The sequence below is a fragment of the Homo sapiens genome, chromosome 11, assembly GCF_000001405.40.
Source record: "Homo sapiens chromosome 11, GRCh38.p14 Primary Assembly".
NCBI classification, from domain to species: Eukaryota; Metazoa; Chordata; class Mammalia; order Primates; family Hominidae; genus Homo; species Homo sapiens.
The window spans coordinates 113,674,681-113,687,178 of NC_000011.10; the positions used below are offsets into that span (position 1 = coordinate 113,674,681).

Genomic DNA, 12,498 nt, shown 5'->3' on the forward strand with positions numbered 1-12,498 from the left:
ATTCCTATTTTATCCATGTTGGAAACTGAAACTCAGAAAGGTCAAATAACTTGCCCAAAGGTCACGGCAAGAACTAAGAGCTTCTAACTCCCCTATGGAATATTCTGGTCTCATCCCTGCTGGGAGACACTGCTTCTAGACTTCAGGGCAAAGAGGGGGAGCTTCTTGTCTTCTGTTCAGGAGGCAGGAATAGTAGAAGAGCACAGATTTTGGAGCCAGAAAATGTAGACTTGAATCCGTTCCTACCCCTCACCAGCTGTGTGACCTTAAGTGTGTTACTTAATATCTCTGAGGCTCCATCTCCTCTTACGCAGAGAAGAACAGGCTACCCCCTCACAGGGATTTTGTAAAGACTCAGTGAATCAACTCTAATAACACACCTGGCTTAGTGCATGACACAAAGTAGCGGTGCAAAAAGTGCTGGTTCTCTCTGTTCTTCTGTGCTGGGGCAACAGTTTAGCCACATGCAAAGGGGCCACATACTCATTCTCAGAGTCCTGAGCTGGACAGGAGCCCCAGGAGCTGACAGTTTGAGGTTTGTGGGCTATGACTAAGGGGTGTGAGATTTTCCAGCATGATGCTCACACAAAACCCCGAATGTGAGGTTGGGGGTGAGTACAGCATGCTGGCGCCTGAGCAGAAACCCTCAAGGGACACTTGGAAATCATGACTTAAGAATACTTGGGTGTGCAGTGGCATCAGAGGGGTCAGGGGAAGCATGCTGAACTTCACAGTGGCTCTCCCACGCAGTTGGGCAAATTCTTTGGGCCTCCCTGATTTTCCTTAATAAGCCCTTTCTGTCTTCACTCTCCAAGAACTCATTAAATCCTTTCTTGATGCTATTTTCATTCTGTGGTTCGAATATCAGAGTAAGGAGTGCCATAAAATTGTCCCCAGCAGGAGATTTCTTTCGTGAATCCTGAAATAAATTTTGTCCAGCTTTAAGGAGTGGTGGCCACTCCGAGACTCAGCAAACATGTCAGCTTCGACCCTGACTGTGACTTGATTTTACAGCATGTTGCTCCTGCCAATCAGTGCGTCCCTGATGGACATGTCTTCATTTATTCAGTCAGCTTGGCTTAGTGTTCATTCTTGAGAAAATCCAGCCTGGTCCCTTAGGACCTTCCATTAATAGACTGGCTTTGTTGCAGTCACTACTCCGACCCTGCTGTTTCCTCTCAGTTTAGTTGCTTTGCCAATTCACTTTCACTCCAGCCTTCTCTTACACTTTTCAGCCTCCTGTCACAATGGAGGCTTAAATGGGCAGCTTCTCTCTACTTGGAAGGACGAATGCCAGATAAGGGTGGGTTTGAGAAGGATTCAGGGGCCAGGACCACACCTTACCCAGAGCCTGAGCATTACCCTTGCTGTTCTGGGTCTGCTCCATCCTTTTTGTACCTTGGATCCTGCAATTAAAAGAGAAAGCAGAGACTGCCTAGCTCACAGACCCCGAGGATAATTTACTGACTTCATGGCACCTGAGAGTGTCATGAATGCCTGGCTCAAGCCCAGCTCCAGAGAGTACATTTCAAAAAATGTCAAATAGATGTAAAGTACCCCCTCCCCACTGGTATTGCATATTATATGATTTCACTGAAACCCCATCCTGAACATCGCCATAAGAACATCATCATAGAACCCACATTCTCTGACTAGCACTGGGGGCATGATTAGGGACAATTAAAGCACAAATGCAGTGTTCATTCCCAATTAAAAGAGATTTGACTTCAAAGGTCCAATATGAATTCTTTCCTTAAAGAAGCACACTAGAGCATGGTAATTAGAGATTCGGGTTCTAGTGCCAAACTACTGGATTCAAATCCAAGCTCTGCCACTTGCTAGCTGTGTGACTTGGGCAAGATGTTTAACCTCTTCTGTGCCTCAATTTCCTCATTTGTAAAATAGAAATAATAATAGCAATCAACTTGTAGGGATGCTGTGAAGAATAAAAGTGTCAGTACATATAAAGCGCATAAAACAGCACCCAGCAGATAGCAAGTGCTCAGTAAAAGGAGCACTCGCCAGTCTCCTCTTGATGGACTTTTATACTGCATGGAGCTCCCTGGGAGTACACAGACAGAAGTTTCCAGATGGATGTGGGGTCTTTCAAAATCCTGACATCAGCAACATTTTATGTGAGTTCCCCAATGTCCACAGTCATGGTTCAGACAATGACCAAGATTATGCACATTTCACACACTGTCTATAAGAAAGATGAGCCCAGTGTAGTCATCCCCCACCCCGCTTTCCAATATTTTTGAGAGAAGTTCCTCAACTGCCACAGTAAAGAAGTCTTTATCAATGCAACCCCAACAGTCCAGCGTCAGCCATGGTGAAGGCCAATTGTGGTCTCCCAGTGAATGACGGACACAAATAAGTCAGAAAATACCCTTCACTCTCAAGGTAGGAATAATTTCATATATCTTCAGTTCTCATATATGGCTAGGGGGGTTCTCAAACATTTTATTTAAATCTCATTTAAAATTTATTTTAACCATCTAAACAAACCATAATGACAATGTGGTATATACCCAATTTTGATACATAGAGGCCACCAGCCCATTAGCTTAGGATGCCAGATTAACTTATTTTTATGCAGGCCTCTGAATGAAGTTTTCTCGTTTTAATTAAAAATTACCCCGAGACTAAAAGTCAAGCTGTGAAAAGGCTATTGCTGTTTGCAACTACTCAACTGTATAAATCGGGATTTCTTGGTGCTATGCAACCCAAACCAAAATCTAGAGAGAAACTGGTTGCCAAGACTGATACAACTCTGTAATTTGATGCATAGGCCCTGATTTCAATTTCCTGTGCTCATCAAAACAACATCATTCACATCGATACAGAGTAGGTATCACCAATTACAAAATATATGCATGCTCATAAAATACTGCTCTCATCTCTTATGTGTTTAAGGGTTCCAAATAAATATTTTATTATTGAAAGAAGTCTGAAATCCCACTATAATTGTTATAATGTATGCCAGTGTCCCTCAAAACCCTCCTCCACGCCTCTCCCAGAGCAATGCAATCTCTCCATTATACGCCTATGATTGTGACTCTCTCCTACTTGAAAACTTTCAGCAGCTCCTCCCATTCCCCATAAGACAAAGTGAGGACTCCTCGGCTTGGCAGACAAGGGCATAGCAATCTCATTCCCACACACTGTTCACTGGCATCTCTTGTTCCCTGGCATCAGTCCCTGCTCCAGCTGCACAGAACTACTTGGTATTTCCTAGGAAATGTCAGGTATTTTCATGCTATTCCCTTGGTCCCAAATGCCCTTATCTCTCTCCCGCTCCCAGCCACCTCCCCTCACTCCAACTCAGTTCTGAAATTCATCCGTCAGGACCCAACTCAAGCAGCATCTCCTTAAGCAGCCCATGGCTCATTGGTGCCCCTGTAGTGCCTTACGCCTGGCTCTATAGTGAAATCATCAGCGTGCATCTCCACGTTCCCCACCTGATTGAGAGCTTCTGCTGATGTAGTGATGTATTTGTCTTTATATTCTGGCACACACAGGTGTTTAATAACGTAGAAGGAAGAGAGGGAGGAGAAAGAGGGAAGAGGGAAGAGGACAGAAGGGGAGGAAGTGACAGCCAAGCCTCTCATGCCATGCCTGCCCACCTCCCAGGATCACAGAAATAGCCCTTCCAGATTAAGCTGTGTTCCTGGACTACCTGCATGACTACTCTTTTCCATGCTCTTTCAAGATAATAATACCTTTGATTCCATTTCAGCGTGGTGACACTGAATAACGTTTGTGAAGCAGCGTTACTCCTATTATACAGATGAGGTAACTGAGACCAGAGACATAAGGTGATGGGCCAGAATTCTGCCAAGGGCCTGGTCTAATTCCTCTAAGGGCCCAGTTTACCATCACTGTGTGTTCAGTTCATATGTATGTGTGTGTAAGTCTGCACACTTTGGTGGGGCACTGTGGTGGGAGGAACATGGCTTAGTCTTTTCTATTAAAGAGATGATTGAGCCAAAGCTACCATTTCGTGAATTAGAAGCAGCATTTTGCCTTGGGCTTTTTATTCTGTGCAAATAGGTTGGTATGGAAACCATGCTTCTGAGGTTGCAATCAAAACACCATTTGCCTCTATTGGTGTTCTTAAAATGCTACATGCTGATAGTAGATGAGAAATTTTTACATTTACCACATCAATTCTTTCTTGTCAACAAGCATCTATCTATAAATGGTTGTAAAGTAATTGTAGCAAACTCTTTCAAAATATTCCATATTTGTGCTCTAACAGCAAACAATAAATATAGCTACTTTGACTAGATGGTAAGCTCCGTGAAGGTAGTGATATTTCATTCATCTCTGGGTGCTCAAGGATTAGATAGGGAATGGCACCAAGGAGACATTCAGTAAATGGGGTTTGATTGGATAAACAAGACAACTGGCAGATTTGCCAACACAGGTTAACCACAACCTTTTACACTGTCCTAGCCCTACACAACCTTCAAAGCCTTCTTGCTACTTTACTTGGTCTTCCCACCTTTTCCGCAAGTTAAACAGGCGACATATTATTAGTTCCATTATGCAAAGGAGAAAATAGAAACTCAGCAAAGTCCAGTGACTTAGCTGGGCTGGTCAACAAGCACCGGAATCCAGGTTAGAACCCAGACTTGCCAGCTCCTGGGGAAACACCCTCCCCTCCTCCTCACGCAGCCCCCCCGCCCTGCCCCACTCCACCGAATGCCTCCACACACTGAACAGCCAGTACCTGCTCAACAGGCTCCAGAACACCCACAACTGACTCCCATACCTTCTCCGCTGTTTCATGAGCACCTCTATGTGATTTAGTTTAATGCAGACCTCTCCAAAATGCATCTGGACTCACAGCCCAGCTCCTCTTCCACAGCTTTTCCTTGACCCTGCACATCCCTTTTTTCCTAATTAGCTTTGGCTTACCTTAGTTTTCACTGAAGTCTGCCCTGCGAGAGTTCTGGAGTACGGTGTATTTGTACACTAGAGTTTTTTTTGGTGTTTATCGACATTAATTTCTAGGAGGCTATGTGAGTGGGGATGATAATGAATCACTCTGGGTACTTTTCCGCAGAGAATGAGCCCAGGGACCACCATGGTGGCTGGGCTGATGCGGACGTGGAGCTCCCTGAAATGTAATCAGGGGATGCTTTACAGTGCTTTAGGGAAGTAGGGACTCACAGGAGAGAGGTCTGTTTCTGTCATCTTGCCTTTTTGTCTCACTCCAACGGTTAGGAGTAACCATCAATACCCATGGAGACCAGATGGGAGAAGCCCTTCCTGCTCCGGGCTGCTCACTTTAGAGGGCCCGCCCCCCGCAGGGCCAAGACCAGAGTGAGGCAGGAGCCAGCCTGCCTTTGTATGACCCTGAGAGTGATGCCTCCTTCAATTTTGCACTGAGGCACGTCACCTGCCTCACCCTAGTCCCAGCCCTGCTGTCCTGGCCCTTCTTTGACCAGACCCACCGTAAGGGGAGAATTTGCAATGTTGACGTCCTGTGCCTACCCAGACCTGCGTCTCTCTCTCTCTAGATCCTGAAATTCCCAAGGTCCCTGAGCCCGCTTCCAGAGGCTGCACAGGTACCCCTGCTGGGCATACCCCTAAGCAGGATGGAGTGTCTGCACGGCTGTGCAGACAGCCCTTAGCTGAGGGCGTGGGGAGAAAAGGTGGCCAGAAGCCTACTCTCTTCATCAACCAAGCTCCAGGACAGAATCCAAAAATTCAAGGATTCAAAATTTGGATCTGACCTTCCATATTTTTATATGGTCTATTTTTTATGGTAGGAAGATAGAACGTTTTTAGTTTAACAGTGTGTTAGGGTGATGTATTACTCTGAACTATTTAGACATGTGGTATACGGGCCTCTATCCACACTCTTGTCTGGACCCCATAAATGTGAGCCTGGAGGAGTCTTGAGAGAGGATGACCCAAACGTCAGAAGACTCTGTGGAGAAATGACCCCTACACACACACCTACTACTATAGGTCTCTATTGCTTGTATAGGACCATTGCAATGAATTCTTTGTCGGATTTATGATCCTGCCTGCCAGGTAAAGTGTCCAGGTGGTATGTAAGCATGTGTATGAGGGGATAGGCTTAACATGGTCACTCACGAAGGATGAGCCATTTTTGCTGAGGATGAAGCATGGTCATTTGCAAGAGAATTTCCCTGACATTGTCCATTGAAGGAGGCAGCTAAACATGGTGGGGCCCTGCACATGGAAAGTGGCTAGAATCAGATCTGTCCCTCTCACAATTAGGGGAGCAGCTCTGCAGAGTCTTACCTCGGCGTCCTTACACTTCCTCCCTTCAGTCGAGCACAGTGACACATCTATAATCCCAGCACATTGGGAGGCCGAGGCAAGCGGATCATTTTAGGTCAGAAGTTCGAGTCCCTCCCTTTCTCCACTTCCTTCAGGCCCTTCAAGCTTCCCACAAAATCAACATACACGCATGCACATGGATCCTGTGATCTCTCAGAGCCTCCCAAGCCCCCAGGCTTTCCACTCTCCTGCTACCTTCCGCCACCAGTTTTGACCCATTAGGATTGACATCATGCAAATTGAGGCCCATCTTTTGGTGGCCCCAGGGACAGTACAATGTCACCAAAACATGGGCTGTACAGCCTTAGACACACATGCAGGGGTAACATACCTGCAATGTCATCTTCAGCTGCAAGGTTCCAAGTCTCAGCCACCACCCAGGCCCACCCAGGCAGGCTAGGCCGTGATAAAAGTTATTTCTGGATTGCGTCCATTATCAGGAGCAGGAGTGACAGACGAGCTCAGCTGGAGCCCTTTCTTCTGGGATCCTCACTGGTAACACACCCTGTCGGGCCCACCATGTGCCGCTGGGTTTGGAGATACTTGGACCCCAGCTGCCTGCCGATGGTTCTGCTAGCCCAAAACTTTGTTCACTGTCCCACCTCATGTGGGAAAAGGCTGGTGGCTGGTGGGGACACTCTGGCCCCTGATGGTTGGGGAGGAGTTGGTCTAAATCCACTCCTCCCAGCCTCACCTTCGCCCTCCACCACCCACCTGGGTCCCTCCAGAAAACTTTGCAAGGTCTGACTTTCTGCCTGGGCCTCAGCAGTCCTCTCAACTGTTCCAGCCCCCTCCTGGATCCACTATACAAATACAGGCTCACTGCCAAGAAGTGAGAACAATAAATCTTCCCTCATTCTTTTATTCATGTCCTCACCTCTGCAGGGACTGCTGAGGAAAAACAAACCCCACAAAATCCCTGTGGGCTCTGGCAGTCTGGCAGTCTCTTCTTTGCTCCTCTCTGATGATCTTTGGAAGGCAGAGGCCAGGAGAAGAAGCCCATCCAGCTCCCGTACGGGCGGCAGGCCCTTCTCTTCCTCCTCCTGAGTGGGCTCAACCACTCGAAGCCAGCACCTATAACATGCTGAGCCCGCACCGGGCTCTAGGAACCAGAAATCAGAGTGACCAGGGGAAACTGGGACATCGATATGCATGGCTTGCCGGAGTAACACTACACCTGACTCACCTTCCTAGCCTCCCGCAAATTGCCAGAGAAGTTCTGGGCCTAGGAGGGCCAGGCTGTTTGCGCAAAACATTAGGTAAGGTGAGGGAGGGCTGCCCTGGCTGCAGGCTCAGAAGCTACCACAGGGAAGTGGCAACCAGGGAAGCTGCAGGCCCTGAGGAAGGAGGGGCTCTCTCCTTAAGGGCCTCCAGGGCAAGGCAGCATCTGCTGGTGTCACAGCCTTTGCAAAACAGTTCAGACCTTGAGAATTCCCAGGACCTTCCTCCTCCAACTCTGTGCACCAGGGAGTGCTTCCTCAAACTGAGGAAGGATAGTAGGATTCGGGGATGCACTGAATTTTGCAGAACTCCATTTATACAGAAGAGATGCATTAGACTTAGGGTGAGCCACTGTCCTAGTTTGTCCAGGACTGAAAAGTTTCCCAGGACATAAGCTTTTCAGTGCTAAAACCAGGACAGTCCTGGGCCAACTTGGAAGATGGGTCACCCTAACAGAGGGGCTGTGGGAAAACCGATCCTCCCTCCCTGAGCCTGGCATGTGGCTGGGTCCAGAGCAGGGTTTGGATCCCAGATGTTTTCTAGCGGTTCTGCTAACCCACAACTTTCCTCACTATTCTAGGCATGAAGAAAGGCTGGAGGAAGGAGTGGGTCCTCATGGCCAGCTTAGGAGCTGTCAAGGAAAACAGAAAGAAGGAAAGCGTTCACGGTCTTCGTGGTAGAGAGGAAATTCCTTTGGCTGCCTTTGCGGAGCTGGGGCCCATGAGGCTTCAGACAGAGCCTGGGGTATCAGAAAGTGAGCTGGAGAGCACCTAAAAAACTGCCAGATTGAGGGGCTCAACCTTTCCTTGAATCCTTGCCCAGGGTACAAATGCTAGGTACAGCAACATGGCGAAAGCTGCCTTCCAAGTCTTTTGCCCAGTTTCTATTGCTCCCATGGACCCAGAGGGCTCCCAGGGACGGCAGCCTTGCAGTGCTGTGAAGCTATAGCAAGCTGACTTCTGTAGATCTGTCCCAGGGAACAGGCTGCTCCTAAAGGTTATCCAAACTGGAAGTGGTGGGCAGACATCTCAAGAGGCAAAAGAAGTTTGAGTTAAAGCTGGTCTAACAAGGCAGATCCCGTGGAGACCATCTTGCCCAGACTTCTAAGTTGACAGATGAGAGACCAAAATCCAGGGAGACTGAGTCACCTGCTCGAGCAGCACATTCCCACGTGGGATGTGATGGGACTCTGCATCTAGAACCATTGTTTCCTACTATCAGATGTCACAGCCAGAGGTTCCTTGGAAGGGAGAAAGCTCCGAGATGATGCCAGCCTTTTGCAAGTCTCTGCCTTCCTGGAGCCCACGTGCTGTTCTGGGAGAGGCTAAGTAGCAAGGACTCTGTGCCTCTGCAGCCACGATTTCTCTCTCCATTCTGTTTGATTCCCCAGCTTGGTTCCCTCCAGCACCACCTCCAGGTGAAAGCCTCCACAGATCCCCCTGGAGTGCTCCACCCTGGGGAGACTCCGAGCAGGCAGGCCTGCTTGGCCTCTCTCTTTCCCAGCCTTGAATGTATGAGAGAGACCAGCCTCAGCCCTCAGGAGTAGGAAGCTGCTGCCTACCTACTTCCTTACGAACCTGCCTAGAGGTGGAGGGATTTAACACACAGTTGAAAAAGTCATTAACAACACCTGGCTCTGATTAGTTTAGTAGGAAACAGAGTCCTGAGGGTGCGGCACACCCTGAGTGTTCACTGCAGCATGTCTGCTAGGGAGGTATAGATGGGGCTCAGGCCCAGGATGCTGGACTGGAAAGTGGGGGCAGGTGAAGGTAGGTTTTCCTTTGAGTAGCTGTGGAGCAGCAAGAGGGTCCTGAGAGCATGGCCAGGAGACGGCAGAGTAGAGAGGAGAGAAGAAGCATCAGAGGGACTTGGGAAAACATCTGACAGCTACCAAACCAGTTCTAAGCATTTATAGCATTTCCAGTTTTGTCCTATTGTGGGTGAGCCAAGCACCTCCAAAAAGAAAATATAAGAAAGAGCCTGAGAAATGTTCCTGAGGAATGGCAGGGCCGCCCCTTGTTCCCAGAAACCCTTTTAGGAAAAGCACGACTCCACAGAAGGTGTCAGGAGGGGAGAACCTGAATCTGATGCTAGAGGGATGCTGAACCCTCTAGCATCCTTGAGACCCCACAAGCACACAGAAGAAGAGGGAAGGGATCTGCACCCATCATGGCAGCCAGGAATGACCCTCTTGGAACATCTCAGGAGGCTCGAAAGCTCTGCCCAAGCAGGTGGGATGCTGAATCCTACCGGAGGAAGGCAGAGGTTTCCCACATACAGAATTACTCTGACTTCTGTAACAACAGGCTCTTGGAACTCCCTGAGCAATTACTACCTCCCCACTCAGCTCTCTGCCTGGCTGGCTACTAGTAATTTATTGCAAATAAGTCTCATTTCTCCAATAAGACAGTCGGCTTTTCTACCTCCGAATTCCCTACAGAGCTTAAGATAGCTGGGAACCCAGCTGGTCCTCATTAAGGCCCTTCTGAACCCGAATCTTCCCAACCTTCCTGGCCCCACCTCCACCCCTTCATTCCAGGAGCAGGCTCAGGGGAACGGAGCTGGCCAGGCCACTCGCTTCCCTTCCCTTTCCAAAGAGCTGGACTGGCAGATGCTAATAAGGAAAGTGAGAGATTCTGCATCTGCAGATCTGACTGGTAGCCTGGCCAAAGAGAACAAGAACTTCTGTATAGGTAAGCAAGGAATCTTTATTAGCAAATTCTCTAATTAGGGTACCCTTTATAGCTCTCCTATAGGAGATATTCATTTGTAAGTTTTAGTCAAGACCGTGAATCTCAGGGAGAACTGAAAATTTCTAAGAATATTGTTGAGAAGGGTCTTTGGCAGGAGCCTCTTAAATTCCTGGGTTTTGGTTCCTTCATCTATAAAAAAGTAGGTGTGGGAGGCCGGGTGTGGTGGCTCACGGCTGTAATCCCAGCACTTTGGGAGACCAAGGCAGGTGGATCGCTTGAGGCCAGGAATTCAAGACCAGCCTGGCCAACATGGCGAAACCCCATCTCTACTAAAAAAAAAAGTACAAAAAAAATTAGCCAGGCTTGGTGGTGCACACCTGTAGTCCCAGCCACTCAGGAGGCTGAGGCATGAGAATCGCTTGAACCTGGGAGGCAGAAATTGCAGTGAACCAAGATCATGCCACTGCACTCTAGCCTGGGTGACAGAGTAAGATTGTCTCAAAAAAAAAAAAAAAAAGGTAGGTGTGCCAAGGCATTACTATAAGCAGGTGACTTACACCAGGTGACCTGAGCAAGTACCTTCCAATTCTATTCTTCTGTGCAATACTGGACCATCTCATTCATTCATGTGCATGACAGTAATGTGGATTTAGAGTAAAAAGACCCACGGTTGACATCCTGGCTCTAGTGCTTACCAGCTGGGTGGTCTTGGGGGAGTCACTTAATCTCTCTGAATTAATTTTCTTATCTGGAAAATGAGGACAATAATAATAACATCTGCACCACATAGATTTGTGAGCTCCCACATATGGGCATGTTTTCTAAACTGTAAAACACTATTCAAATGTTACTGAGTATTGAAAGACCTTGATGGCTGTAATTTTTTTAAACTTCCCTTTAAATATGCAAATGATTATGATTGACATCAGAAACACAAAAAAGATCACAGCTGCTGGATTTGCTGTTAACTTATCCCTGCCCAGGGGGATCTACTACCCCATCAGTGCCTCCTGAGGCAGGGACTTAAGGGAGCTGGGCAGTAAATGTTGATCCCAGGGTAGAGGCTGAAGGTCTGACCTCCAGGGACACAGGGCGAGGCTATTTTGCCATTCAGCAGAACTTCTCCCACGTTGCTTCTACAGTTTGACAGCAGACTCCCAGCAACTACTTCCCTGGTTAATAAACTGGCAGTAAATTGAAACCTTCATTTTCTAGTGCACTTCATGTAAAGGGAGCAGACCCTCTAGAAATGAGTAATCATTTGTACAACTCCTCAAAAAATATGCTGATAAACTCACAAAGTTCTGTTATTGCTAAACACTAGTTGCATTTCCTTGGGTAAGCACCATAAAAAATTCACTGCAGTTTTTAGAAAGAAGATGCCAGTCACATTTTAACTGCTAGAGAGGAGAGAGTTGGGGAGAGGCTTACCCAAGGAAATGCTAACTGGGCATAAAACTCAAAAAGAGAGGCCAAGTCAAAGGCCCAGTTCCAAAACAAGAGCTAAGAAGGAGAGATGGGTCCAGGTGCGGTGGCTCACACCTGTAATACCAGCACTTTGGGAGGGCGAGGCAGATGGATCACCTGAGGTCAGGAGTTCGAGACCAGCCTGGCCAACGTGGTGAAATCCCGTCTGTACTAAAAATACAAAAAATTAACCAGGCATGGTGGCTGCAGTATGCCTGTAATCCCCGCTGCTCGGGAGGCTGAGGCAGGAGAATTGCCTGAACCCGGGAGGCAGAGGTTGCAGTGAGCCAAGATGGCACCACTGCACTCCGGCCTGAGTGACAGAGCAAGACTTCGTCTCAAAAAAAAAAAAAAAAAAAAAAAAAGGGGAGAGAGAAGGAGAGATGGGCCTTGCAGGGAAACCAGACCTTCCCAAGAGAGCATTGACTTAAGTGCTTCTCAGACTCAAGATCTCAGAGCACCTGGATGGCTAAGGCTTTTCATTGCAGATCATGACATGTAGATTTTTTTTTTTTTTTTTTTGAGACAGAGTCTCACTCTGTCACCCAGGCTGGAGTGCGGCTCGGCTCACTGCCATCTCTGCCTCCCAGGTTCACGCCATTCTCCTGCCTCAGCCTCCCGAGTAGCTGGGACTACAAGGCGCCCGCCACCATGCCTGGCTAATTTTTTGTATTTTTAGTACAGATGGGGTTTCACTGTGTTAGCCAGGATGGTCTCGATCTCCTGACCTCGTGATCTGCCGGCCTCGGCCTCCCAAAGTGCTGGGATTACAGGGGTGAGCCACCGCGCCCAGCCA

The 12,498-nt window shown here is 48.0% G+C and overlaps 1 long non-coding RNA gene across 2 annotated transcripts in view; it reads right to left on the bottom strand.

Moving 5' to 3' along the window:
- LOC107984390 (uncharacterized) overlaps nucleotides 1-11,830 on the bottom strand; it is a 100,111-nt gene extending 88,281 nt beyond the window's left edge. For both annotated transcript variants that reach the window (XR_001748391.2, XR_001748390.2), the window contains exon 1: nucleotides 6,653-11,830. This is a non-coding gene — a long non-coding RNA (uncharacterized LOC107984390). The remainder of the gene's footprint in view (nucleotides 1-6,652) is intronic.
- Between the last annotated feature and the right edge of the window lie 668 nt (nucleotides 11,831-12,498).